The sequence below is a fragment of the Homo sapiens genome, chromosome 6, assembly GCF_000001405.40.
Source record: "Homo sapiens chromosome 6, GRCh38.p14 Primary Assembly".
NCBI classification, from domain to species: Eukaryota; Metazoa; Chordata; class Mammalia; order Primates; family Hominidae; genus Homo; species Homo sapiens.
This window is the reverse complement of record NC_000006.12, coordinates 53,884,220-53,912,154: the sequence shown is the minus strand read 5'-3', so window position 1 is coordinate 53,912,154 and position 27,935 is coordinate 53,884,220. Positions and strand designations below refer to the sequence as shown.

The 27,935-nt window shown below is 38.5% G+C and overlaps 1 protein-coding gene across 5 annotated transcripts in view; it reads right to left on the bottom strand.

The window, feature by feature from the left end:
• LRRC1 (leucine rich repeat containing 1) overlaps positions 1–27,935 on the bottom strand; it is a 129,121-nt gene that overhangs the window by 11,971 nt on the left and 89,215 nt on the right. For 3 of the 5 annotated variants that reach the window (XR_007059279.1, NM_018214.5, XM_011514727.3), the window contains 6 exons: positions 15,601–15,657; positions 15,263–15,326; positions 14,796–14,870; positions 12,264–12,408; positions 9,408–9,526; positions 7,693–7,776 (listed from right to left, as the gene is read on the bottom strand). Coding sequence is in view for 3 of the 5 variants with exons in the window: in NM_018214.5 (NP_060684.4) it covers positions 7,693–7,776; positions 9,408–9,526; positions 12,264–12,408; positions 14,796–14,870; positions 15,263–15,326; positions 15,601–15,657 (544 nt within the window). In the remaining 2 variants the exon portion in view is untranslated. Of the gene's footprint in view, positions 1–57; positions 6,707–7,692; positions 7,777–9,407; positions 9,527–12,263; positions 12,409–14,795; positions 14,871–15,262; positions 15,327–15,600; positions 15,658–27,935 lie in introns of those variants that run through there. The other 2 variants (XR_001743505.2, XM_017010997.2) reach the window with 2 other exon arrangements.

Genomic DNA, 27,935 nt, shown 5'->3' with positions numbered 1-27,935 from the left:
ATAGTATTCACGCTATCTACCCACCATGCATAGCCTCTCTGCCCACTAAATTTCTCATTTACATATGTTTATACACTTTATTTACTTACTTGTGAAAGACCTCTACTTAAAAGTTATCTGCCTCTATGTGTAGCAGTGGAGACAACAAAACTCTTTTTTGTTCCAGTAAGAATCACCAGAGTAGCCTTTCTTAGGTTTTAGAAACATCAAGCCCCAATATAGTGTGGATTTCCCATATGGCTGAGCATATTCTCCCTCCCTTGAGGAAGGGAATCAACAATTCTACCTAGGTGCCCAGAAATATCATGGAAGGAAAGCAATCAAAACCCTGATCCTTTTGATGATCAATATTATTAGAGTCTCTGATAAATTTAGACAATCCTGACAAAGATCTACTCATGAGAAAGAATGACTAGGTTCCCATGGGGCACCCTTGCCGCATCCCTGCTCCAGGTGGAGGAGCTTCGGTGTCAGGCTGGGGTTCAGAGGTACGGCTGCATGCCCTGAAGGAGAGCTTCCAAGTCAGCAGTTGGCTGAGGCTGAAGACCCCCGCTAGCGTCCTGATCTAGCTTTGAAGAGACAGGATTTATGTGTGACCCAAGGGGGGCAAAGCAGATATTATCATTCATATGATCGTCCGGATGGGATAATCAGCTCCTGGAAGACATACAGAGCTGGGACTGCATTTTAATTCTGGGCATCTTGTCTTGAAGCTGTCCACTGCCCTCCCACCACACCAACCTGTAAGATATCTGTTTTGGGGCCCTACTGCTATACCATGTGAACATTTTCAATTTGTATCATATGCATATATTATGTAGTCAAAAAAATTAATTAATTAAAGTGGGTCAGAGAAGGCTCTAAATAAATGTTCTGGACAAGATCCATTAATCATTTGGGAACATATTGTGTAAACTTCAATGAAGTGTGTGAGCTGTCTACTGTGTGTTATTGTTTCATTTTTCTTTTTCCTTTCCCACTCTAATCTCACACCCATTTGAGACGTCAAGGGGTGGAAAGCAATTGCGTACAAGAGCCTCTTAGGCCCTCTGGGTTGTCAAAGCAGGCAGTGTGACCTCCTGATCTCTATTGTCTATGGTTTATGAAAAACAATGCCAACAAAGAGCACATGTTGTTGCAGAGTGTGCTAGGGATGCCTTAATCACCCCACAAAGGCACATGCTGTCCCAGCGAACATTCACATAAACACAGCCCTCTTTCCAAATCAGCCAGGAAGGGATGGCACAACCTTTGGTTTTTAGAAAAGATTATTAAGCATTCAAACCCATAACTGAAAAGATATAGTTCATTATAGACGTCAGAGGGAGATGCGGTATGATGGAGGGAGCGGATGCTTTGAGACCATACAGACCTGGGCTAGAATTTAGGCTCAGTCATATGTTTTGTGGTTTTGGATATGTTACTTTAACCAAAAGTAACAATAATGATTAACTTAAATGAAACCACATATATAATTTGGCGCCTATCATAGAAACTGGCCTTTTGCTGTTGCCAAATAAATGTGGTAGCTATTTTTTTTTCCAGGAAATAAAAACCTCAGATCCAAATGATGAGTACAATCAACACCTGAATACCTACTATGTTCTTAGAACTGTACTGATGCTGGCAGTCTCTTTCCTGAACTTACCCGAATGTCTTAAAAAACCCATCTCCCTAACGATGTATCGCAGTGACATTTTGTATTAATAATAATGAAGACTGACATTATACACATCATTCATATATATTTTGGCTTTCTCTTTTGGGTTCAGGAGGCAGAGTTTACAGGTTTCTCAGTGGTAATCAGGATAAAATGTATCACTTAGAAGTTCTGGGAAGCAGAGTCACTGTTTAAATAACTTATTACCAGTTATGTAGGAAGCTGATATTTTTAAGCTTCCCTTAAACCACATAATAGCACCTTCCCAGAATACAAGGGGTTGGACTTGGATTCTCTGAGAATTATGGAATATAGCTGAGAATCTTTGTCCAGCCATTTTGTGTCTCTCTTAATTCAAAATGATACTCTCCTTAGCTGTTATGCACTGATTTAACCCATCTCAAGAAAATAGGTTCTGCAGATTATTGAGCAAACCTCTGCTCAGGTCAACTTTCACTAGGTATTAATTGCCTGCAGGTTAGCTCACCCAAGGAGGAGATCATGAGACAGATTCAGTGATTCAAAAAGGGAGCCTATGTTAGTCACGTCTGTTTATCTTCCATTTTTTAAATGCTTGCCTTAAGTATAAGGGAACTTTCACTTTCCTTCAGTATATTCCTTTTAATATTATTTGTAACATAATTGAACACACACCCCATTGGCAAAAAAAGAAAAGTGTACAATAAGTAAAATCTGGCCAAAACGCAATTTGAACAAAAATAATATGAAGCATAATTTTAGAATCCCATCATCTATGGCATATTATTCAAATGTTCCCTACTTCATAAATATTTTTGGCAATTGTGTGGCTTTGGGATTCCCTGAATTCTGAGGCCACTGACATCAAAATATCCACTAATAGCTACGGAATTCTTTTTTTTTTTTCTGATTATAAAAAAGTACCTTACATTGATTAGAAAAATAAAAACTAAACATACATGCACAGGAAAGCACAATGAAAAAAAATCAAATCTTACCACAAAGGGATAATCAGTATTAACATTATGAGGTACAATCTTCCAGTACCACTGCCTTGCATTTGTGATTATACATACACACTTTAACAATGCTTCTAAGAGGACTTTTATGGACCACATAGTTATTTCCTTCTATGGATGTATCACAGATTATTTAAGAAACTGCCCAGGTTAGACAATGCTAGTTAGGTCTGCCACTTCTTTGCTGTGTGACTCTGGACAAGTGACTTAACCTCTCTCAGTCTTAGTTTCACAATCTGTTGGACATTGAAAATGGTTTACCTATACCTCATAGAACTGTTGTGATAATTAGATAAGAATAAGTGCAAAAGCCCTTGGCACCATGCCTGGCACATGTTAGCTGCCTCTGTGGACACTTGGTATGGTGCCTGCTCCCATGTATAATGTGAGAAATGTTCTTGTACATCATTCTTAGTGTATATCCATAAATGTTTTCCTAGACGTGGAATTGCAGAATCAAAGGGTACGCACATTTCTAAAGTTTTTACTATTATCATATTCCCTTCCAGAAAGTCATAATAATTTATATTTACATGATAATATATATTTCCCTCCACCCTTGCCAAAATTTGGCATTATTAAATTTTTTTGTGAATACTGATGAGGCTGAAATTGTTTCACATTAGTTGCCATTTCTATTTGTTCTTGTGTGAATCACTTGCTGGTTTTTGTGGAAGTTTCTTTTTGTCTACTTCTCTATAGTAAATACATCTTTTCCTTATTGGTGTAGAAGAACTTCTAATAGAGTAAAGACAGATCTCTCATTTAAGATGCCTTAAATGTCTCCCTGCCCCCTTTCAAGAAAGTAAAGGCTGCTTTTACCTTCTTGAAGATCAGAAATCGAATTTTCCTGTAGACAATCCATCAACTATTTTTTATGACTTATTTCAAGTTTAGGAATTACTTCTCCATCTTGAAATTTGATGGTCAACTATATTTTATCTAATATTTTTATATTCTATATCATGTCTTTAATCAATAATTCATTTTAGAATACAACGGAAACTTATACTGAAAGAATTTTGAATTGCAATAATAAGAAGGCAGAAAAACTATCCACAAAATGAATATTCTATCACCACAGGCATTTCTGAGTATCATAGTAATATTTATGGGTAATTAATATTTACAGGTTGCCTGACTGAAAAAAGCTTTGATGAATGATCTGCAAATGCTATGTTGCCTCATCTGACTGGGTAAGTGTGGCTTAGTTGGCGTCTCTTTCATTTGGACTTAATGGAGACAAAAAGAAAACAGGACCCTAAACTTGGATATAAGCTCAATTTCTTCTAGCCAAAAACTCTTTATGGTCTGGCTCTCATTCATCATACTCATGCTCACACATATACCACCAACTCCATCTATCCATGAATCAATCATACTACTGCACAATATGTTCCTTAACTCTCCTCTCCACCAACACTATGAGTTTTTAAGAAATCTTTTCCCAGAAGTATATATACTTAAGCAACAGGATGAAAAATAAAAGACACAAATAAGTGACTTGAAAAATCAGAGGCATGCCAGGTGTAGCAAATAAAGCAAATCTAGCCTTTCCATTAGAGACAGATTTGTGCCGACAAACTTACAATTTAGTGAAAACAGATGAGCTGCCAAATGATGCCTTTCAGGATTTCTGAATAACTTAAAATGTAATTCACAGAAAAGCATTCTTTTGAGAGTGAATAATCTGAACAAACTTGAAAAACACATAACAAAGTAAGGTTCCAGGCCATGCAGTCATTAAAAAAAAAAAAAAAATGAATTTAGAAGAAAATGTCCAATATTTTACAATGAAGAGCACACAAAGCAGTCAGCCAATGTGAATCTTCATGCATTTAAGAAGCAGAATGGAAGTTAGAGATGCAACTGTGGTCTGAACAATACTTACAAGATAACAAGTTTACCTGACTTTTCTAAATTTCCAAGCAGCTAACAATTAAGAAAACAAAAGACATTCATTGATTTGCAAATGTTTACTACAAATAACACCACAAAACACAAACAGAATCCATATTGTGACCCACATGGTACAAACATCTTCCCCTCAACCATTTGGGGAAAAAATGCAAATAAATGCTGCTACAGACTAAGGAGCTGTGCCCTAAAACTGGCAACACACAATACTATAAATGTTGTTGTTTTTTTTAAAGGAAAAAATATAGGAAGAACTACACAGCATACCAGACCAATGGCAATTAATACTACTATGGATTTTTGGCATATGAATTGAATCGGTCAGCATTTCAGTTTAGATATGTATGCAACTTAACTGTTCAAGAGAAAGCAATATATTTTTGGAAGAATCCAATCAGGAAAATGCAAGATTTGATCAAATGGCATCAAGCTTGGAGGCAGAGCTAACATACACACAGTCACAGGGCCTACCACACTCACTGCACAGAGACTCATGACATGACAGTGCTGCCTGGGCCAACGTGATGCAATGAGAGGTCAGGAGGCTCTTGCTGGTTTGGCTGCTCAGCCCTGATGGTCAGAGGCAAGCACTCAACCATTTCTGCTAGGCAGCAAACTGTGATCCGAGGGAGAATTGGAGACATGTGCTCAGCACATTTTCCTACGCTGGGAGCTGAGTGTATGTAAGTAGGAGGTGATCTAGAAAAGATCCAACTCCTAAAAACCTAAACATTCTCTGCTTTATCAGACAGCTGAAAGGAAAGGCGCAGACTATTTCTTTCTAAAATGCCAGAAGCCAGAAAACCAATCATAATTTCTCAGAAAATGGACAAAATATGACTAAAACGCTTTGAAGTTAGAAATACTTTCATATTTTCACTTTTCACGTCATGAAAAACTGTTCTAGTAAATTTAGTGAACACATAGCATGGACTAGATATAACCCTCTAGTCAGAAACTCTTGAGTGTGTTTCATTCTTTTAAAGTGAAAAAGAGGACCGATGCTGAAATGATGGTGAAAGTTTTATGAAAGTAAATTTCCAAGGTTCTTGTCTAGAACATAATCTTGTGAAAGAGAGTCAGGGGATCAGGGAAGCTGGGGATGGGTGGTGAAACTTGCTGGGAATTAACATTACACCTAAAAGTGCTCTCCTCATGATCTGCCTTGAAAGAACACCTAAAATGTGTTAATTTTCTGTAGTGTCCAAACTAAAGATACTTTGGCTTTTCCTTAACAAATCAGGGGCTTGCCCTACCTCAAGGTCACACAGATGGAAAGGTTGGGCTGAGCCTGCATTACATAAGTGGTCACGTGTTTACTGGGAGACTCATCTTTGGAGTCAGGTTCTACCAACTCCCAGCTGTGTGAGCCCTAGTAAGAAAAACTACTTACTGGCCTCCGTTTCCTCACTCGTAAAATGAAGAAATTATCATGACTGCAAAAGCTGTTGTAAGGATTCAACAAGTACAACAAATACTTGAAAGCATCTAGTACAGTGCCTGGCATTAAAAAAGAAAGAAAGAAATATTTTCTACATCTGTATGTGTGTTTATATGCCCAATCTACTATCCATCTGCAAGCACTATTCAGCAAGAGTAAATTCAACTGTTCAGAATATCAGTTCTGTATTTTGGTTTATTGCTTAGAAACTAGAAGCCAACTTTTCTAATTAGTAGAATCTCTTAGTTGAGTCCCAGTTTTGCTGAGAAACAGACTGAAGTCTTACAGCCAGAAACAGTTTACTTAGATGACAGTGTTCATATTAAGGATGTTTCAGAATATGATCATGTTTATAGTAAATATTCTCATGTCTCCATTTAGAAATGCTGGCCACCTTACCCAGGGAGAAGACTGGGACACTGTGGGCCGAACACCAAGATGAGGAAAGGAAAGAGGAAGTTCAGATACCCTGAGATGTGGCCCTAGGAAAACAAGAACGCCACATGTTCTGACTGGCTGGAAGGCAGCTTTGAAATTACACCAAAATAGACGTTAGAAAAAGTCAAAACAGAAATATGAAGCAAACTACACCCAGCCAGTGATCATATCATCCAAGGAAATACCATACCTTTCCAGATGAGGACCCAGCAAAGGAGAAGGCTCATCAACAGCTAGTTTTAGGCTTTATTGCTGATAAAAAAAATCAAGCTCAGTATTATCCTTCTCCAACCAAGCACTTCCAGTACCCAATAGAAAGTAAGCCTTCTTCTTTTTCTCTTTTCATTTTTTTTTTTTTTTTTTTTTTGAGATAGAGTCTCGCTCTGTCACCCGGGCTGGAGTGCAGTGGCGTGGTCTCGGCTCACTGCAACCTTAGCCTCCCGGGTTCAGGCAATTCTCTTGCCTCAGCCTCCCGAGTAGCTGGGACTACAGGCGCCCGCCACCACGCCTGGCTAATTGTAAGCCTTCTTTTTAAACAACACACTAGACACCTCCTTGTTTGACCCACTATAAGCTTCCTCCTCATTGTCAGCATTTCCACCTCCCTTGCCAGAATTTAAATGCCTCTCAGTCCATACAGCTACTCTCCACAACAGATGGTGATGTCTCATTTTCTCGTGCTTAGACTACTAACCAAAAAAAAAGTCCTAGGAAGCTGGCTTTAGCTTCCCATTCACCTTCCTCTATGTGTATGCCTTTGTGAACAGTTTGTTCAACCTCATCCAAGACATGAGCATGGCCCAATGTAAATCTCTGCCCAGAAATATGGTTGCATCAAGATCAATTTTTATAATTCCAATTGCTTATGGGATGGAGCTTAATTTCACATTAAATTCAAAAATCAAACCCAAAGGCATCCACTTCCTCTGTCAAACTCCCAAATTATCAATTTCTGCCAATGGTGTCACCATTCTCTGTATATCAAACCCAAAATGTCAATCTCTTTCTTTCTCCCATTTAAAATCCTATAAATTCACCTTTTCCAACTCTCCTTAATGTTACTGATGATCATTCTTTGACATAATTCCTCCAGTTGGCTCTATACTCACAGATTTAGAGTTCACACCTTTAAAAAACAACACATGCGTCTTTTCAAAGCATTTGACATTTTTGATCCCTTATGTATTATTATTATTTCTTCATAATTATTATCATGTGATTTCTCTAAAAGCACATACCTCTTTTGGTAAGGACACTAATTTATTTCTGTCTGCATTCAAGTTGCTCAACTTCTTTAGTTTTCCAATGCTTTTAGGCAGGGTCTGTTAAAATAACAATTTCACTATTAATTTAACACACATTTTTAACATGGCTCACAGTAAATAAGATCTTTGCAAGGACCTAAAGAATATAATCTCATCCAGCAACAGAAGCAATAGTTCTTGCTGAATATCAGATATTTGTAATGTTCCCTTAGGGGGTGCGACATTAAGTATTTTGAATTTTTGTTGAAATGATAAGTCTGTTTTAAAGGAATGAAGTCAAAAGTAGAGACCTGGGAACAGGGAATCATCTTGTAAAGGGAAAAAGATGCTGTTCAACTCAAGGAAGTGAGAATTTGCACCCTCAAGATTCATTCCTGCCCTGCCTGCACCTTCAAGGACCACACTGGGACAGTGGCTTAGATGTCCGTGGAAGCCAGAGCACTGGGGCAGGGAATCAGCACCCGAAGCAGGGTGCCGCATGGGCAGGGAAAGGCAAGGGCTATGGGGATGGGAGAAAGGTGAGCATCCTGGAGTGGGGAGCAGAGCTCTACCAGAACCAGGCTGGCACCCACATGGGGGTCTTCAACACTCCAGTGCAATCCAGGGGTGAATATTATTTTTACAGTTGTTATGATTACTATTTGTAAGCCTAAAATCACAAAGCAGGACTGGAAGATTTGGTAACTCCCACCACACCTGCCAGAGGCTGGCTGCTTCAGCTGTCTGAGGAGAGGGGCTGCTGGGCTCCCCACCCACATCTGTGCACTCCATCCTTTCTTGCTGTCCCTTCTGCTCTTTCCACCTAAAGAACATTACTTACTCTATTTATAGAGAAAGGAGAAAAGGGAAAAGGAAAAGCGAAAAGGAAAAGGAAAAGGGAAAAGAGAGTAAAAAAAAAATGACAAAATGAAGATGGAGAAAAGAGAAAAGTAGGAGAGTAAACTGAAGAAAAGAGAGTGCTATATGACAACTAAAAGTGGGGGAAGGAGAAGTGACAACTGAAGGGCTGACAAAAGCAGAGGGGGCAGCAGGACAGGAAAAGACGACTGAGATCTGCTGCCACCCTGCCCACCCACCCTTTGCCAGGGGGTGCACGCATTGCCCCTGCCCTTGTCTGGTGGGAGCCTGGTCCAGGTAGAGGACCCCTCCAGTCCCCTCCACTTCCAAGTTCTAATAAGAAGCAGCCTTAACCAGAGCCCATCAGATGCCATCCTCTGGCTCCTTGATCAAGAGCGTTTCCCAGCCCCCATCCTGCCAAGGCTTTTCCTGGCCAACGTCCATCTCGTTCCTCTTCTCTCCTGCTCTTCCCATTTGCTCAAAGAACCCAGAGAGAGGCCAGAGGAATCCTGATGAATATTCCCAGTGGTGGTCTCTGGGCACCACAGCTGGGGCATCAACACATCCAACGAGAGTAGCTTATCCCCACACCTCACTGGAGACATCTGTGAGGCATTTGTTCAGTCTCTATATTCAAAGCACCACAACTGGGACACAGGCTCAACAGGGAAACCTAAGCACCACTTTCTTTGCTTAAGCAGGTTAAAAACTGATCTTTAGGTCATGCATTTGCTTTGTAAGACCGTTTTGGGATGTAATATGAAGAAATTTCCATTTAGTCCACTCAAATTACAAATTAAGTAGAATCTACCCTAGTAAGTCTTTATGATATATGTGCAAACCACACTTACCAGGAGCTGATTTTCTGTAAGAACTAACTCAGTGAGACTTTCACATTCCCCAACTGCTTCAGGCAACTGTGTGAGTCTATTCTGATCCACCTTCAAGATTGACAGTTTCTTTAGTTTTCCTGTAAAAGCATTATGATTATTATTATCAAATTCATTAGTTACAATTATTTTCATAATCACTGCTTGGAATTTCCTATCTGCTGTTCTTTTTGTTTTAAACAGTTACTTATTTTTTCCTCATCTAGCTTTTCACATTATGAAACTCTATCATTTAGATCACTGAAGGTTGGGAGTTAAAATAATTTGTTTAGAACATCAAAAACGGTCAGCAATAAGAAACAAAACATTTTAAAAAGCATAAAAACATTGCATCAAAGCCAAGAAATTTACAGAAAAACAAAACAGCTTTCTCTCCGTGGAGGTGTTTCATGCACAGAGGAGACTTTCATTTTACTCCAAGCATTATCCTTATAATAAACAAAAAAAAAATAGTTTATTAAATCACCTATGAATGAAAATGACTCAACGAAGATCCCTACAGTGCGGTATTTCTACAGGTGCAGAATAAAGCGGTAACCTCTGGAAAGCCATATTAAGGATGGAGTCTATTTCACTCAGGCCAGGAAGACTTGACGTCCTGGTGATACCCACTGTTCATGGGAAAGAAGAGCAAGTCTTACTGCAGCCTCCTCAGAGTCCCCACTAGCCACTAGTAAAGTCATTCAGATTCTCACTTCAACAAGTCATGGGATTAAGCCCACAGAGCAGGCGCCCTTCATTCTCTACTGAGTGGCTAACACATTGACACTTTCCCCACTACATCAGAAAACATCCTCTATTCTAACACAGTCATAAAGCTGGAGAAAGAAAAATACCGAAAGGCGTATCTTGCCTCGGGTGCAGCCACAGGGCAAGATAGGAGAAGGAACCAATTCTTAAGCTCTTTATTTAGCATAATCAATAGCCTAACACTGTCACTGGAGGGTTTCCACCTGCCCTCACGGTCAGGAGATCCACTAGCATTTTCTGCAGGGTATGCTGAATAGCACAGCCAAGCACCGAAACATCTCACCCCAACAGAGAAGTCTCCTGGCAACTAGTCTTCTAGCCTCTCCTTGAATACTTCTAGTGACAAGGTACTCATTTCTTCACTAAGCAGCCCAAACTGATTTGTAACATATCTTTGCTTTTTTTTTTTTTAAGAGACAGGGCCTCACTCTATTGCCCAGGCTGGAGTACCCCGGTACAATCACGGCTCACCGCAGCCTCAAACTCCTACTCCTGGACTCAAGCAATCCTTCCCCTTCAGGCTTCTGAGTAGCTAGGACTACAGGCATGTGCCACCCCACTTGGCTAATAATTTTATTTTTGGTAGATAGGAAGTCTCACTATGATGCCCAAGCTGGTCTTAAACTCCTGGCCTCCCAAGGTGCTAGGATTACAAGTGTGAGCCATGCCCAGCCATCTTTGCTTTTTAAAGCTCTTTCTTAAATGAAATTCACAATACTTTCATTTTGCCCATTTGATCAGAAAGCTGTAATACATCTCTTTCTTTGGAAGACAGTCCTTTAAACGTTTGAAGTCAGCCTCATGCTTGCTGCTGCTTCCTATTCCAAGCAACAAAACATGCCCAGTCTCTACAACCCTTTTCAGATGCCATAAACGATTCTCAGTGAACATCTCGCATAGAGCCAAAACCCCTACCGATTTTCCAGCTGGGTTTAACCAAAACACAATGTCTGAATTTCTACTGAAATTTTCATCTTGACCACATACCACGGAGGGAGTGGTCTTCTGCCATACAAGTTCTCCAACTATTGAAAACCTTTCAAAAACTTCTTTTGATGTGATGTTCTGCATAAAATTAAAGACAGCAATCCTACGATAACTCCATGGTTAAATACAGTCTCTTTCAACTTCAAAGTGGCTTTGCTACAATGGAGCTCCCAAGTCCGTATCTGTTTATACTTTCTCTGCGTTTAATTTCTCACACTGGACTAAGTTCCTTCATAGTAAAGAAAATGTCTAGATTGATTTTTTTTTAAAAGAAAATAGCACAGAATGATAAAAGGATGATCGATGTACTAAAAAAGGCTCAATTCAATTACGCCACTCTTTCAGCACCTCCCTTAGGTCATGGAATAAGTCAGTCATTTTCTCATGAACTATTAGGATGCCAAATTAGAAATTTCTTAGTGACTGCTCATATGCCTTAAATACATTTTATTATTTGGGGTAATCCCTCATGAAATCATTGAGAGAAGATACAGATGAAGTAGAGATGAATCGATGCTTAAAAGTAACGACAGCAGTAATAGATACCAAGCCAGGATGACAGAAACATCTGCATGTAGAGAAACTTCTGCTGTAATAAATACTCTTTGCTTTCCTTCTTTAAAAACAAACAGCAAGGCCGGGCATGGTGGCTCACATCTGTAATCCCAGCACTTTGGGAGGCGGAGGCGGGCGGATCACGAGGTCAGGAGAACGAGACCATCCTGGCTAACAGGGTGAAACCCCGTCTCTACTAAAAATACAAAAAATTACCCGGGCGTGGTGGCGGGCGCCTGTGGTCCCAGCTATTCGGGAGGCTGAGGCAGGAGAATGGTGTGAACCCAGGAGGCGGAGCTGGCAGTGAGCTGAGATTGCACCACTGCACTCCAGCCTGGGCGACAGAGCGAGACTCCATCTCAGAAAAAAAAAAAAAAAAAAAAAAAAAAAAAAAAACAGTAAGGAGACTTTAAGGAGCCACATCCTCAGCATCTGAAAGTGGTGACCAAAGGATCAAAGTGTGCCCCAAACCCTCAAGACGACGGCAGGCAGTATGTTTAGCAGTTAGTGATTTCCAATGCTTACCAATGCCATCCGGAATCGTTTCTAATAAGTTCTGGGAAATGACTAAATCCGTTAATGAAGTCAGGCCACTGATTTCTTCAGGAAGTCTTTCCAACCTGTTTTCAGAGACATCTAAACACAGCAGGTTCTTCAGATTTCCTATTTCCTATAACAATGACATGGAAAAATAAACGCACACTTAAACCTGCCACAGTGCAGAGGCATTTGTTCCAGTGATTTTTCACAATTAAATCCCAGGGCGGTCCTAAGGATGTTATCTTTAGCATGAATCCAAATGTGAAGGCAGGGGCAAATTCCTAGATCCCCTTCCAATGAAAGTGGGAAGTTGAATGAATCACAGACCCAGAGCTGGGAGGGATGCAAAGCCCTCCACCTTTCAGGCAGGCAAGGAATCATTCCCACTTAATAGGTGAAGATACAGGAGAAAAAACGACTGCAGGGTCACACAATTAGAAAAGAAAAAGGAGGCTAGAATTTAGCTTTTCAAGTTCGGAATTGATCTCTAGTAAGCAGCTTACACTGCAGGGTGACCCTGGGATTTCCTCTGGTAAGAACCTACCTACTTTGTATTTTCCTTCCATGACAGGTAGCACTCGTTAGCACAAACATCAATGCAATTGCTCCCCAGCAAAACCGGAACATACATACCTATCTGTATCTTTAACATTAAAAGCAGCATACTGCCTTTAGTGAAAACAGTCTACCAGGATAAGGTAAAGTACCTCCATGAGTCTAACATTCTATTCAAGACCTACCTTTTCTTCTATTCCCAAAGTGCAAGCTTTCTCTCTTATCACTGACTCCACTTTTCCATTCCACTTCCCAATATTAAATCTTAACCTCATTACTCCTTTACCTTGACTGTCAGCTCTGCCTCTTGGGCTCTAGTCTTAACTTCCCCTTTCCTGAGACCATTCCATAAACTGTGCTTCCTCATTTCCTTCCTGAAACACAGCCAGTTCTCGTCCTATAATTGGACCACCTTCTTTTCAAAAAACATCTTGTGGCTCCCTGATGTCTACATGAGTACAAATTCCTCCATCTATATTTAATTTGGTCTGATCTATTCTTTCCAGCTTATCATCCACCTGATATTGCCTTATGATCCTGCCCCTGTATTTCCTGTCTAAAGGAAACTAGACTAGATTTATACTAATTTCAGGCCAGATCCCTGAAGTTGTTTTACTTTTCATTAATTCCTTTTAACAATGCCTTTGTATCTTTCTCTTTCCATCATCATTGAAGATAAGAAAAATCATTCTAATTATTTAAGACTTTTTGGTGTGTTTATGCTGATTTAACACAAATTTATACTATAGGAGCAAATGAGATTTTTAAATAATCATTTACAGCACAATCATTGGAATTTTAATTTCTTTGTATTTAGAATATCACACTTTGCACAGTCATTTACACACATCTGAACATACACACCTCTTTCCTTTCCCCTTTATGTCCTACAGATATTTTATTACTTTCCTGATAATGTCATGATAGTTTTCTCCCATCCTTTGACTTCTAAAGTAACTAGCATCCTTTCAACCAGGATTTCCCACATATTTCCTAGAGAAATCTAAGTACGAATCGAACTCTACCCACAAGAGTTGCTAATCTGTCTCCTTTTCCCAACTGTAGCCAAGATCTCATAAACAGACTTAAATTAGTTCCTTAGTTCCATTAGTCATTAGGTGACATCATGGAAACTTCAGTGCTATAACAACTAAAAATTTACTAAAGTGCTTTCTTCTAGTATTAGGGTTCCCTGCATTGATATGGCATTCCCCACTGAAAATACAGAGCCCTTTACAACTGGTCACATGAAAAACTGGCTGTGAGAGACATCAAAGAATAAAATTCAGTAATAGTTGGAGAAAAAAATACAAGAGGAAAATGCCTGTTGGTTTTGTTTGTTTCAGACTTCTCAGTTTCTGTCTTAGAATGTAGGCCTGTCTGCTAAGACTCCACAAGATGACTATGTGCTCAGAAGTCTATACAAGACTCCGCTTCATTTGGGACATGGTTCTTCCACTTGAGAACAGTAGGAAAGGCCTGAACACCATGACATGCCAGCTAAACCATAAGCAACATTTGGAAAAAATCTGAAATAAAAGCATTTAACATTGCTTTTACATGAGTTATTATGGGGCAAAACATGGTCAAATTATCCCAAAGCACTTGGCACATCATGGAGTGGCGGAAAGGTATACCATCAGAATCATGGGTCCTGGCAATTTACTAATCTGCTGGGCTTGAAGTAAGCTATATGGGTAGCAAGGACACAATAAAATACAGATTTTACAAACTAAAGGAAATATTTACTATATTTACAAATGGTGGGTTGAGGTTTTCAGTTTTTATATGGCAATGGAGAATGATGCATGCTCAATATGTTTTTTCCAAATGTGCCTTTTCAATCAATGTTTTTGGTTTTCAAGATCCTTTTATAGCAAACCTTATGTGGCAGCAGGAAATACACAAAGCTTATTGTTGCTGTTTTATGTTTTGGGGAGACACTGTGAAATTACCACTTACCTGAGGTAATTCTGACAGTTGATTTCCATCCAACCAGAGATCTTTTAGATGTAAGAGGGCTCCAATTGATTCTGGCTAAAACAAAAGAAAAAAAAGTTACGGTAACAAAGATTCAATTTTCAGTCTTCCCTGAAGAAAGAAAGAAACTGAATTCATCTGTTAACAACTGGGTACCTTAGCAGATGTTCACTGGTACTTCTCTTAACATCCAGCCCCTTTCCTCAAAGTGCCCAAACTTTCCCCAAGAATGCCAGTTGTTTCCACCTATGTCCATCATCTCTAGTCCTGACCTCCCCCACCCATGAATCATAATTCCTAACTTGTGTGAAATAAAGCTGGTTCTCTAGTGTCCCCAAGTTACATCTGTGGAAATACTGGCTTCATAAAGATCCCTATAGAACTCCCCCAAATACTGTGTGATCATAACTAAAAACAAAGTTAAATTCAAATCTCTAATACGGACTTACCAAATTATATATTTCATTGTTTCCTAAATCAAGTTCTTCTAGTCTTCGCAGCTGGGTAAGAGAGCTATTTTAAAAAATAAATAAAGAGCACTTAGAGAATACTTAGAAATGCTGAGCAATATAGTATCCCTCACTTGGACTAGCTTCAAAAATAAGGTCCATTTTTATTTTTATGGTAGAAAATATTGCACAGGAAGGATTGTTAAGAAAAGGCCGGCTGGCATCCCCCAAACTTCCCAAAACACACAAATGTTTTCACGTAATACTGTAGTCCTGTTTTTTTAAATACTTAAATTCATTCTGCACAAAATCTCCTCTTATTTTCCCCAAAGACTCACTCAGGAAGATATGTAAGAAGATTCTCTCTCAGTTCCAGTGAAGCCAGGTTATAAAGACTAGAAATGAACAGAAGGAAAAAAAAGCATAAGAGAAATTCCTGAGATTCTTCCTACCTCCCTTCCCCCATACACACACTGGACAAGTTGCAACACTTAATAAAACCTAGTAGGTCACTTACCAGGGTAAAAATACCTATCATCACCACCCCCCACACCCATTAAAAACAATACCATCTCTACCTCTCAAATTGTAATCTTAAGATATTAATAATTAATAAAAGAGTAGTGTGTCATGACTACAAAGCACCTTCATTCAAATACCTTGTACATGTGATATGTGGAAATAACTCATCAGCCAATAAAACACAACCACTCTCAGGACTGAGACAGAAGCTGAATGTGTGCATCTAGACTTTCAAATGCCAAAAATGCAGTTACCATAAAACAGTAGCACCTTTAGTCTTGCAGAGCTCAGAGCTCTTCTTCCCAGTATCAGTGAGAGATCATCCCTGTTTTAAAGTAGGGGACATCTCAGTCCAGAGAGTCCAAGTTGATCTACTTATGATCATAAATTCATGGATCAAGTGGCAGCTGCGCTAAGGAAGTAACTTTCATTTAAATGCATTCAGGATAATGTCATAATGTATCTTGCACAGTGCCTGGAACACGGACTGATTTAATAAATGGTAGCTATAATAATGTTGCTTTTATTCTGGATTAAACCCTAGAATGAGGCTCTCTTCATCAGATTCTCCAGCCTCTTGGATGTAATCCAGTCTATTAGGAGCACAGTGGAATGTGACAGATGTTTGACAGATGGGGCAAATCTTGACAGGCAGTGGCAATTCTGCATCACCAGAAACCCTCATGAAGTTATGTCAGCACTGGCAAAACATATTGATTCAGAAAACAAGTGACACAGTCTATTGCCCCTACAAGCACTGTACTAAACTATACCAACCAAAAAGTCACATTTTGCTAATATCACCATAGTAACATCCAGATTTGGAGGAATTTCATTTCTGAGCACACAGAACACAAAAAGTCAGACATTATCCCAACACTCTAATCTGCCTTAATCCTCCATTCTCCCTCCTTCCAACAAAAAAGCCAGAATCACGTGTACTAACAAGGCTGGTTTTATAACATCCAGAAATGTAAATTTAAATGAACAGTGTATATACATGCTTAAAACCTGTTTGCCAGAAAATATATTTTAACTGTATTATGAAATGTAAAAATCCTGCATCTCCTTCTCCAATTTTACAAAACCAAATAATTTTCATACTTAAAGCAAGAACAAAACTTTCAATTTCTTTTTAAAAAGACAAACTCCCAGCCGGGCGCGGTGGCTCACCCCTGTAATCCCAGCACTTTGGGAGGCCGAGGTGGGCGGATCCACGAGGTCAGGAGATCGAGACCATCCCGGCTAACACGGTGAAACCCCATCTCTACTAAAAATACAAAAAATTAGCCGGGCGTGGTGGCGGGCGCCTGTAGTCCCAGCTACTTGGGAGGGTGAGGCAGGAGAATGGCATGAACCTGGAAGGCGGAGCTTGCAGTGAGCTGAGATCACGCCTGGGCGACAGAGCGAGACTCCATCTCAAAAAAAAAAAAAAGAAAAAAAAACTCCCCGCTAATATGTCACCATGAAATTAACACCAACGTTCTTCAAATCAAATGTAACTTGGTGCGGAGTTGCAGTTCTCTAGTTCTACTTTCTCTTGACCAAGTGTTTACGTAGAAGAAACAACAAAGGGAAGGGGAGGAGGATGAGATGTACACCACCCAGTATCTCCTTCCAAAAGCAATCTGTAAATAATCTGTAAATCATAATTTTACTTGAAAAGTAAAAATTTAAAAACAAAGGGCTTTGTTTTCAGTTTTAAATTTCCATGTAATGCCTAACCAGTTTTATTAAGAAGACAGTAATCCCTCAGCTATTTTCACATTTAAATTTTTAAAATGAATGTTAGGATTGTCATTTTATCTCTTCGGTAATCCACTACTTTCACACCTATTTTAACAAACCAAGGACACCCACTAATGAAAGAAGGAAAATGTCCTTCTTTGCATCAAAAACTTGACTCACTGGGCATCACTGAAAGCATCTTGCAAAGCAGTTTCACACAGCCTCATGCTGAGTGTTATGCCAAGTTTCCACAGCCATGCTCTCAGCATCTCCTGCCTGAAACATAGACCAGAGCCAAGGGGGAGAAACCAGCCTGCTAAGGCAGAAGGAGCTGTGCAGGGCGCCTTCTGTGAGCCATCTCATCTGGTTAGTAATGACCCAGCAAGTTGATGATGCTACCATGACATGATTAGGACCGTGAGGTTTTGTGTGAGGCCCACTTGATAGAAACAGGCAAAACCACAATTCAACCCTGGCCAAATGCCAAAGCTCCTGCCCTCACCCTCACTGACTGAGGCATCTCCAGGTGTCTCTGTTCTTCAAAACTCTCTCATTTAAATTTTAAAAACACCTCTCAGTTTTAGGTATATACATAAGTCTTACCTTCTTAAAAGAGACACTGGAATTTTTGCTGTTTGATTTTATTTTAAGAATGTGATACACATTTTAAAATTATCTTTAAATTTTGTCTTCAGAGCAAATGGCATAGGCTACAGTTACTATAAGCAAACAACACTTGAGCAAAAATACTGCTGAAATGCCCTAGTTCCCACCCCCATCATGCTAACACCCAGATATAATATCCTGCTAAGTAAAAAAGTTCTGGCTACAAAACCTCTTAAGTTTCTACTGTTTGGGGGAAGTAAAGAAAATGTGGATGTATGGGTGATACATCAACAACAAAAAATATCATATTTTTATAATATTTCAAAAGTAAAAATTAACAAAGTACAGGCTAAGTATCCCTTATCTGAAATGCTTGGAACTGTTAGTGTTTCAAATTTTGGATTTTGGAGTATCTGCAATATACTTAATCTGAAATCCAAAATGCTCCAATGAGCATTTTCTTTGAGCAAATGGTCGGCACTCATAAAGTTTCAGATTTGGGGGCATTTCAGATTTCTGGATTTGGAGTGCTCAACCTGTATATAAAAGAATATCCTTATATTCTGAGGTAATACTTCCCCAATTATTTTAAACTATTTAAAATAAAGAAACTTGGATATTATAATCAGACTCTATAGAGCCACCGATGAAAGCCACTCTAAAAAGAGCACATGGAATCTAAGAGGCCTGGGGCCCAGGCTTGAATCCTGCTTGTCCCTCACTAATTAGCTAGGCTTGCTTGCCTGAGGTGTTTACTGCTGAATCTCGATTTTCCCTAAAATAAATATAATCATATCTATTATGGCAATTAGAGCATAATACATTTTCCCTTCAAGTTAACAGAGCCAGTTTCTTGCCTTATTTCCTCAAGACACCCTTTGTCCCTAAGTGCAGCTAGGTACCTTACAAATGTGTGTGCCTTGAGTCAGGGTCTTCAGAAAGATTGCTACAAGATGCTGCTAATCACGGATGTCATCTCCACTACTAAAAAACTCCTTGAAGGACAGGCCCTACATCTGGCATTGGCCAATTTTTAACTCATCAAACATTGTCTGTAACTGGACTGGAAGAAATAGAAAGCAAACAAAGGCTCTGACTATAGACTCCTACCTCCTGTATGAGCCCAAACCTCACAGCATAATCTGGACAAGTCATTCTCAGTTCCAAGTATCACTAAGTGATTCTAGAATGAAACTATGGGTTTGGTTCACATCAGTAGCTTGCCTTGGACAGTCCTTCACCAAAATGTAGAACCCAACCAGCCCACTCCAGAACATGGTTCTCTCCAAATTGTTGTAGTAACAGAGCTGACATAAAACAGAATCAGCCTAAATGCAGAATTGGAACAGAGACATTAACACAAAAGTGAATGAATGAATAATCTCCTTTTGTGGTCTTTCAGAATACAGTATCTTCAATCAAGTCCCTGTCCCATCAAAGCAACCCATTGAATTCAAATATCTTCACATCTCTTACAGCACCCCATAAGGAACATGCTCCTGAGCAGCTTCGGGAGTGGGATCCAAACCTAATCCTGTGTGCTGAAGAGCCCAAGCTCTTAATCAGAAGGTCAAGAGAGACAGAGGGAGACCCAACCTCCACAGGCCTTTATCCACTATTTCAGTTAAACATGGTATTACAGAGATACGAGAAAGAATCAGGCATTTCTAAAACTTTTACAAATGCGATTTTAAAAATTAAACACTTTAATAGTTCTACTACTAATAATAATAATACTGGCAACTTACTCTATGACAGACTTCGTTATAACTTCTTTATGAGAATTAACTTATCGGATGAGAAAACTAAGGCACAGAGAGGAAGCTTGAACAAGGTCTCACAAAATTGCCAAGTAGAAAAGCCAGGATTCACCAGGGAATCTGCATTCTTAACCACTATGTTGTGCTGCCTCTCACTCGAGTTGGTAAGTCAATTTTGCAAATAGGTAATAATATATTTATGTATATACATATTTATTTTTATGTGTATGTGTGTGTGTGTGTGTGTGTGTGTGTGTGTGTGTGTATATATATATATTTTTTTTTTAGACAGAATCTTACTCTGTCACCCAGGCTGGAGTGCAGTGGTGTGATCTTGGCTCACTGCAACCTCCGCCTCCTGGGTTCAAGCGATTCTCCTGCCTCTGCCTTCCCAGTAGCTGGGACTACAGGCATGCACCACCACACCCAGCTAATTTTTGTATTTGTAGTAGAGATGGGGTTTCACCAGACCAGACAGTTGGCCTGGCTGGTCTCGATCTCCTGACCCCAGGTGATCTGCCTACCTAGGCCTGCCCAAAGTGCTAGGATTACAGGCATGAGCCATCACACCCGGCCAATTTATATATATTTACAACAATATATTCAGTAAAGAGTTTCTTCTTTTCCCCCATCAATCCAGCTTCCCACTACCAAACCGTTTTCACAGGAAATTACCTTAAAAATTTCATATGGATTCATGCAGGGCTTTCTTTAGGTGTGAATGTATATAGTCTCTCTCCCTCTTTTTTTTTTTTTTACAAGAAAGGTAGCGTTCTATACATATATATCTGGCACTTTGCTTTCCTCACTTACCAGATTTTTTTTGTCTCATTTTTTATTTGTACATACCAGTATTTTTTCAACAATTGCACAGTATCTTACTGTCTATGGATACCTTTATTTTTTTAACTAGAACCCTATTAATAAACATTTCATCCTTCAATTTTAATTTCTGACAAATTAATTTCTACACAATACTGCTGGAATGACCTCTTCTTCCTCCTCCTACCAAAAAAAAACATGACTTTCTATCCTCCCTGTCAATTCCTACCATTTTTACCAACAAAGGAAGTTGGGGGGCAGGAGAGCACACCTAACAAGCTCCTGCAGGAAGAGAATACATGAAGTATTTCTTCTCAGCACACTAATTCTTAATGTTTTACACTGTTCATAATAGCAGGGACAAAAGTTGCACTCTTTTGTAAGTCAGAATGTAGGCCAACTGTATTTTTAGGATTCTATTTCAGTGACTGGATGAATGGTTACTTTAAGGAATTTACATCTGTTCTCTACTATGTTTTCAAAACCCTTTTTAACCCACTTGAGTTAATTTTTTTCCATTTTAGCGGCCAAAATCATTAAGAAAATAAAGAGTAAAACACATTAAGGTAGACCAAACAAACAAGTGGCAGTTCACTGTAAACCCATTAATATATAAAACAACAACTATTTATGGCAACATTATTTGATTGGGAAAAACTATTAATGGGGGAATGGGGAGTTGCTTATACATTCATAATACTTCTACTCTTTCAGCATCAAATTAGAATTCAAAAACCTCTGGTTACAAACTTTCTTACGGTGGCTTTGCTCTAGAAAACTTTTTTTAAAAAATCTTTATTTTTGTTTTTGAAATAATAAATATTTTATAGTAATTCCCAGGACTCAAAAAAGAACATTAAATATGGTAATAGTTTTCAAAAAAAGGATTTACTCCTTTTAGGCAGCATGCACTTATAATATAGGTAAGCTGCCTAGCACTAGGCCTTGTGACCGGGGGCCACATGGATCACTTAGTTCAAGCTCACTCAAAATTAAGGTCACCATTCCCAAGGGCAGCAGACTCAGCAGACATAAAATCAGACCCACACGCTCTAGTTCAATCTGCCAGAGAACCTAGGGCCTACTCATTCTACTTCTATCAGCAACTTGTAATAATTAAATGTTTATTGATAATGACCTTTTAGTGACTGAATAACTGTTTCGGGTACTGGACTATTTCATTACATATATTCCTTCTCCTCTAAGAATGCTATTTTTGGAGAAGACAACTCAGTTAAACAGGGAGTAGAGATATTTAGGCTAACATATTTGAGGGTATTCGTTTCTTTAACGGTAAAGGATACAGAATCTCATGGAAGGGCATATCAAGTAAAGACAAAGCAGCATGCTCCCAGACACAATCATAGGCTTCCCAGAACCTCAGAATTTTCCATCAGTTGCCGCTGGAGTTTTTGTGTGCTCTTGACCTCCACTCTCACTCTACATCACTTGAGCATTTTGGAGACTCTGGCTATGTGTACCTGCCTGATCACCAGGTGCAAGTAACTAAACAAAATGATCTTAGCACACTACTTTTAAGGTTACATTACAGAGTATTTCCTGTAAGAATAAACTGGGTCGGTTTCCCAGGTATAACATCATCCTTCAGCAGTACCCAGCTTCAAATTTGCCTAAGGTCCATTCTTTTTACGGAGATATAATTCACAAACTATGAAATTCACCTTTGAAAGTGTACAGTTTGGTGGTCTTTAATATATTTATTCAGGAGGTATAGAAACATCACCACTATCTAATCTAGAAAATTTTCATCATACCGAAAAGAAAATTCATACTCATTAGAAGTCATTCCTCCACCCCACAACACCCAACAACCAATAATTTAATTTCTGTCTCTATGGATTTGACTATAGCATGCATTTTGTAAAAAGTGAGTCATAGAATATGTGATTGTTTGTGTCTGGTTCTTTTACTTAACATGCTTTCAAAGTTCATCCAGGAATACTATTTCACTGTATACATATGCCACATTTTGTTTATCAACTTACCCACTGATGAAAATTTCAGTTGTTTCTACCTTTTTATTATAAATAATGCCAATAATAACCCTCCTAGGTTTTCAATTCTTTTGAGTATACATAGCTAGGAATGGAATTGCTAGGTCACATGGTAACTATGTTCAATTTTAAGGAGGACCTCCCCAAACTGTTTTACAAAGGGGCTAAACCATTTTACACTCCCACCAACAACATATGAGGGTTTCAATTTCTCTACATCCTGAACAACACTTGTTAGCATTTATCTTTTTAATTATAATCATCCTAGAGGGTATAAAGTAGCATCTCATTGTGGTTTTGACTTGCATTTTCCTGATGACTAATGCTGTTAAACATCTTTTCATATGCTTATTGGTTATCTGCATATCTTCTCTGAAGAAATGCCTATTCGAATCCTTTAACCATTTTTAATTGGGTTGGTTCTTTTATTACAGAGTTGTAAAAGTTCTAAATATATTCTGGTAACTAGACTCTGATAAGATATATGATTTACAAATATTTTTTCCCATTCTGTGGGTTGTCTTTTCACTTTCTTGAAAGTATTCTTTGATGCACACAAGTTTTAAATTTTGATGCAGTCCAATTTATCCATTTTTTCTTTTGTTACACAGACTTTGGTGTCATAGCTAGGAAACCACTGCTTAATCCAATGTCACAAAGATTTACCCCTGTTTTCTTACAGGACTTTTACAGTTTTAGCTCTTATATTCAGATCTCTGATTTTGATTTAGCTTTTTGTGTCTGGCATGAGGTAGGAGTATAACTTCATTCTTTTGTATGTTCATAGTTTTCCCAACAGCATTTGTTAAAAAGACTATTCTTTCTCCACTGAATTGTTTTGATATCTTTGTCAAAATCAATTAAGACATATGTAAGGATTCTGATGGGGCTTAAGATGAGTCTGTAGATCGACTTGTCGAGTATTGCTATCTTAACAATATTAAGTATCAACCCATGAACACACATTATCTTACCACTTATTGAGTCTTCTTTAAATCTTTCAATGTTTTATACTTAGCATGTACATGTCCTACATTTCTTCTGTTAAATTTATCCTAAGAATTTTATACTTTTTTGTGTTTTGTAAATAGAATTGTTTAATGCTGATATATAAAAATATAACTGATTTTTGTTTTGTAATCTTGTATCCTGCCATCTTCCTGAATTAATTTATTAGCTCTAATAATTTTTGCAGATTCCTTAGGATTCTTTCTATATAAGATCATGTCATCTGAAGAGTAACTCATTTTTAAAAAGTAAAACACAAAGTGTGTGGCTTGAGTAGAAACTGATATAACTGATCCCAAGAAAAATATTTTCAGTATTAAAATGTTCTTTTGAAAGACAAATTCATTCACACATTGTACCAACATTTCAAAACTCCTTAAAGCAAAAATTATCCTTCCTGGCCTTACCAGTGGAATCTTCTAAGTGTTTTTAGTGATAGTAAAGTAAAAAGCCATTGTTGACTAGGCACTGTTTTTAAGGGCATATCTAAATATCAATTTTTTTAATTCAGATAGTTTTCTGAAATCCTGTCCCAAGACTTGGAACTCGACTCAGTAAGACCCCACTGCATGCTCTCCCATGCCAACCGGCATCTGCAGTGACATAGAAAGTCATTCACTTAATTATACCCCAACTTTTTTCTAAAGGGGATTTAAATAAGTCTTTAAAAATTGCAAATATGCAAAAAGGTTCACGAAACAACATTAGGGCCATGAAAGAGGGGAGACACTAATGTGTTCATTATGAGAAGCATGCAGTAAAGAAAATGCAGTATCTTCAAGGAAGAAACTAAGTTCAAATGCCAGCTCTACCACCCACCAGCAATGCACACCTGGGCAGATCACTTATCTCCATTTCACAGAGGAAGCTAATAAAGCTCAGGATGGGTAAAGCTAGCCTCAGGAGGAAGGGTGTCATGAGACAGTATATGCACCTCAAAGAGTCCCTACCCCACCGAGACTGTCAGCATCATCTCTCCCTTCATCGCACAGAAAAGAACACAGCTGCTCTCACTGGTTATCAGAATTAGCTTTAAGCTTACTGGCAACAAAGGCAGGAAAATAAATGTTGGAAATGTTATTAAAAAGGAAGAAGCTTACCAGTTCTTTTGGTAAAGCATTTGTTTCTTTAAAAATAAATTTATTGTCTCCCTAATATTACATCAGAAATATTAAGCAGTATTAATAGACAATAATTATTTTTTCTTGGAAGGTTTTAGAGCAACAGAAGCTGTTTTTTTTTAATAGTTGCTTCTTGTAAACAACTTTTTCTAGAAATTGAGTACAGCCGCATTAGGCCAAAAAAGTGACAATGCAGGAACAGGCTAAAGTGGTCCTAGCATAAATCTTCCAGAACCTGAGCTTGACTGCCTATGATGTGATGTTGGAAGCAAGTGGAATAAAGGAGGCAATACTCTGTACCTTGTCACGTGTATTTGTTTGGTATGTGAGAACAATGCCAGGGTAGGTACAGACACAAAGAGAACTGGACAACCAAGGTTCCTGTAGTATCAGAGTACAAGCTGATCCCAGTACATACACCAGTTATATACATAAAATTAAACAATGAACAACTACACTTCTGTGTAAAGACAAAGGACTAAAGTGCTTATTGTGTGGGGAGTACAACCTGCAAGTCTGGGATCTATTTCACCTGTCAATCATTGGGGAAGGCATGATGAAAGATGTAAAATTTCAATCATTAAATGAAACACCCCAGCCAGTTTGGAAAGAGACAAGGCAGGTAAAAAATTTTAACATTCACCTGAACTGGAATAAGCGGGATGGAAAATGAATGAATGAATACAAATTACTGTAAAATAAAAATTAACAAAGTGTATGAAAATCATACAAATGCACAAAAATAAATGATGCAGTACAAAAATAATCAGCGAGCCTACCCTATTCATGATTGTCTTTGAACTGCACCATAGGAAGTGCTCCTTAAAATTTTTGCTTTGCAAACATTTATTCCTTGATTTAACCCACCACCATTATAACTGCCATCCCTCACTGGTTCTCCAAAAATTAGGTAAATAATTATACCTGTATTTATTAACCTTTCTTAAATGTATGTATAGCTCATATTTATGTCAATGTTTGATACTAGAAGTGTTTTGGGTTTTTGCTTGGAAGTTTGATGTTTTTCTGATCAGAAATATGCCACAGTAACTTAACTCTTGTTTATATCAATTAACCTATGGTAAACTTGGCTTCATAATACTTTGTTTCACTTGATGTCGCAGTTTTCAAGAACCTATGGATGATGTTATGTGAGGACTCACTGTAAATAATTGGGAATATTTAAGAATGAAATAAAAATATGCATTCTTTCCACTTATATGTATAATTTTTTTCAAACAGCTACTAGGTTATTAGGACATAAACACTTATTAAGATGTTTGGACCTACTTAATGAACTGTTAGATATTTCCAGGAGTATTAAAAGAAAGTTACTGAGCCCATAAGGGCCCCAGGAACCAACTGTCCTATGGCAATGGCAGAGTAGAGTAGTAAAAAAACACAGGACTGGGACCTGGAGAGCCGTAGTCCAGTTCTAGCTCTGCCATCAACTCCTAAAAACTTCTTCAAATTAACTGACCATAGGCAAACCAAACACATGATGGGAGAGATGTGTCCAGGTGCCCCCAGGTTCAAGGCATTGCAAGTCTGCTCACTCTATATAAAGGCTTTTACCCTCCCCTCTTAGTCTGAGTACCCCTGACCATCCTGAGGAGGCCCAAGTCCTTGAGACATCCATAGCTTTCCCATTTAATGCCAACTACTGTGCTAGGTGCCAAGAGGAGAAATGAAGTCCTATCTTCACTGAAGCTTGAGAGGCCAATGCTAATGTGGTTTACCCATCTGACCACATAAGCAGAGGTAATTTATGTAAGGATTCCACATCAGACTCCACAAAGATAACAGTAAGAATCAAGCAATCAAATGGCCATTCCATGTTCTTTCAAATTTTGTGGAATATTAAACAGGTATGTCTTCTATGCAAAACAATTCCATCTCCAAGAAGTTGTACTGGTTACTAAATATTGGTTAACTAAATGTGCTAAATGCTCTAAAGAAACTATTTGGGAATCCTTTCAGAAATGAATGAAGCCTTGCCACAAGGAAAGCTTCCAAGTTTCAAATAATTTGCTTTAAATGTAGTACACTTATGCATATATGAGATTTCCTCAACAATTCACTGTTTCAAGTGCATTTTCCAAAAGGTCTTGGACACCAGGTATGCCCAATCTTCTCCAAGGAAGAATTTGTTCTTTGATTGTTTCTTTCTGGTATGTGAGAACAGGCCATTACTTGAGCATGCAGGAAGAAGAAATCACAGTTTCTTGCTATGGTGACAAAATTACTAACAACCAAGAATAGAAAACTCTCTCTTTTTCATTTAATTTCACAAAGTGACCTAATAAGAATCAGTCAATTTCAAGATCAAAGTGGCATTTTATTCAGTAAACAATCAGTATCCACAATGCTATAATAGTAACAGAAGCTGATTAAGTCCACAAACAAAACAAAACAAAAAAATCTTGAACACTGACAAAAGCAGGTACAGATATTAACAGAAAATATATAATAATGAACATTATAAAAAATGTATTCTAAAATAATACTTTCCATTAAAATAGTACAGTAGAGGGTGAGAGGGACACTCTGGTTTAATAATATATTTTATCTCAAAGCATTAAGACTTTTTAAAAAGACACAAAATGGGAAAAAAGGAGAGGGGTAGGAATCAGAGGCTAGAAAGGAGAACCATCTAGGCAGCTGCAGACTAAGAATGAATGGAAGGGAGAGTAATAAGGGAATTAAACTCCAGACATCCTGAGGAGCAAGAGGAGGACAGTGTTAGTTTGGGTGTTTAAACAGCTACTATATTTAAGATTTTTTTGTGTAGGGGGGGCAAAGCGGGGATGGGGTCTTGCTCTGTCACCCAGGCTGGAATTCAGTGGCACAATCATGGCTCACTGCAGCCTCAACCTTCTGGGCTCAAGTGATCCTTCCTCCTCAACCTTCCAAGTAGCTGGGACTACAGGTTTGGGCCACCAGGCCCAGCTAATTTTTTTTTTGTTTTTGTAGAGATGGGTTATCGTCATGTTGCCCAGGCTGGTCTTGAACTCCTGGGCTCAAGGAATCCTCCCACCTCAGCCTCCCAAAAGGCTGGCATTACAGGTGTGAGCCACCATGCCCAGCACAA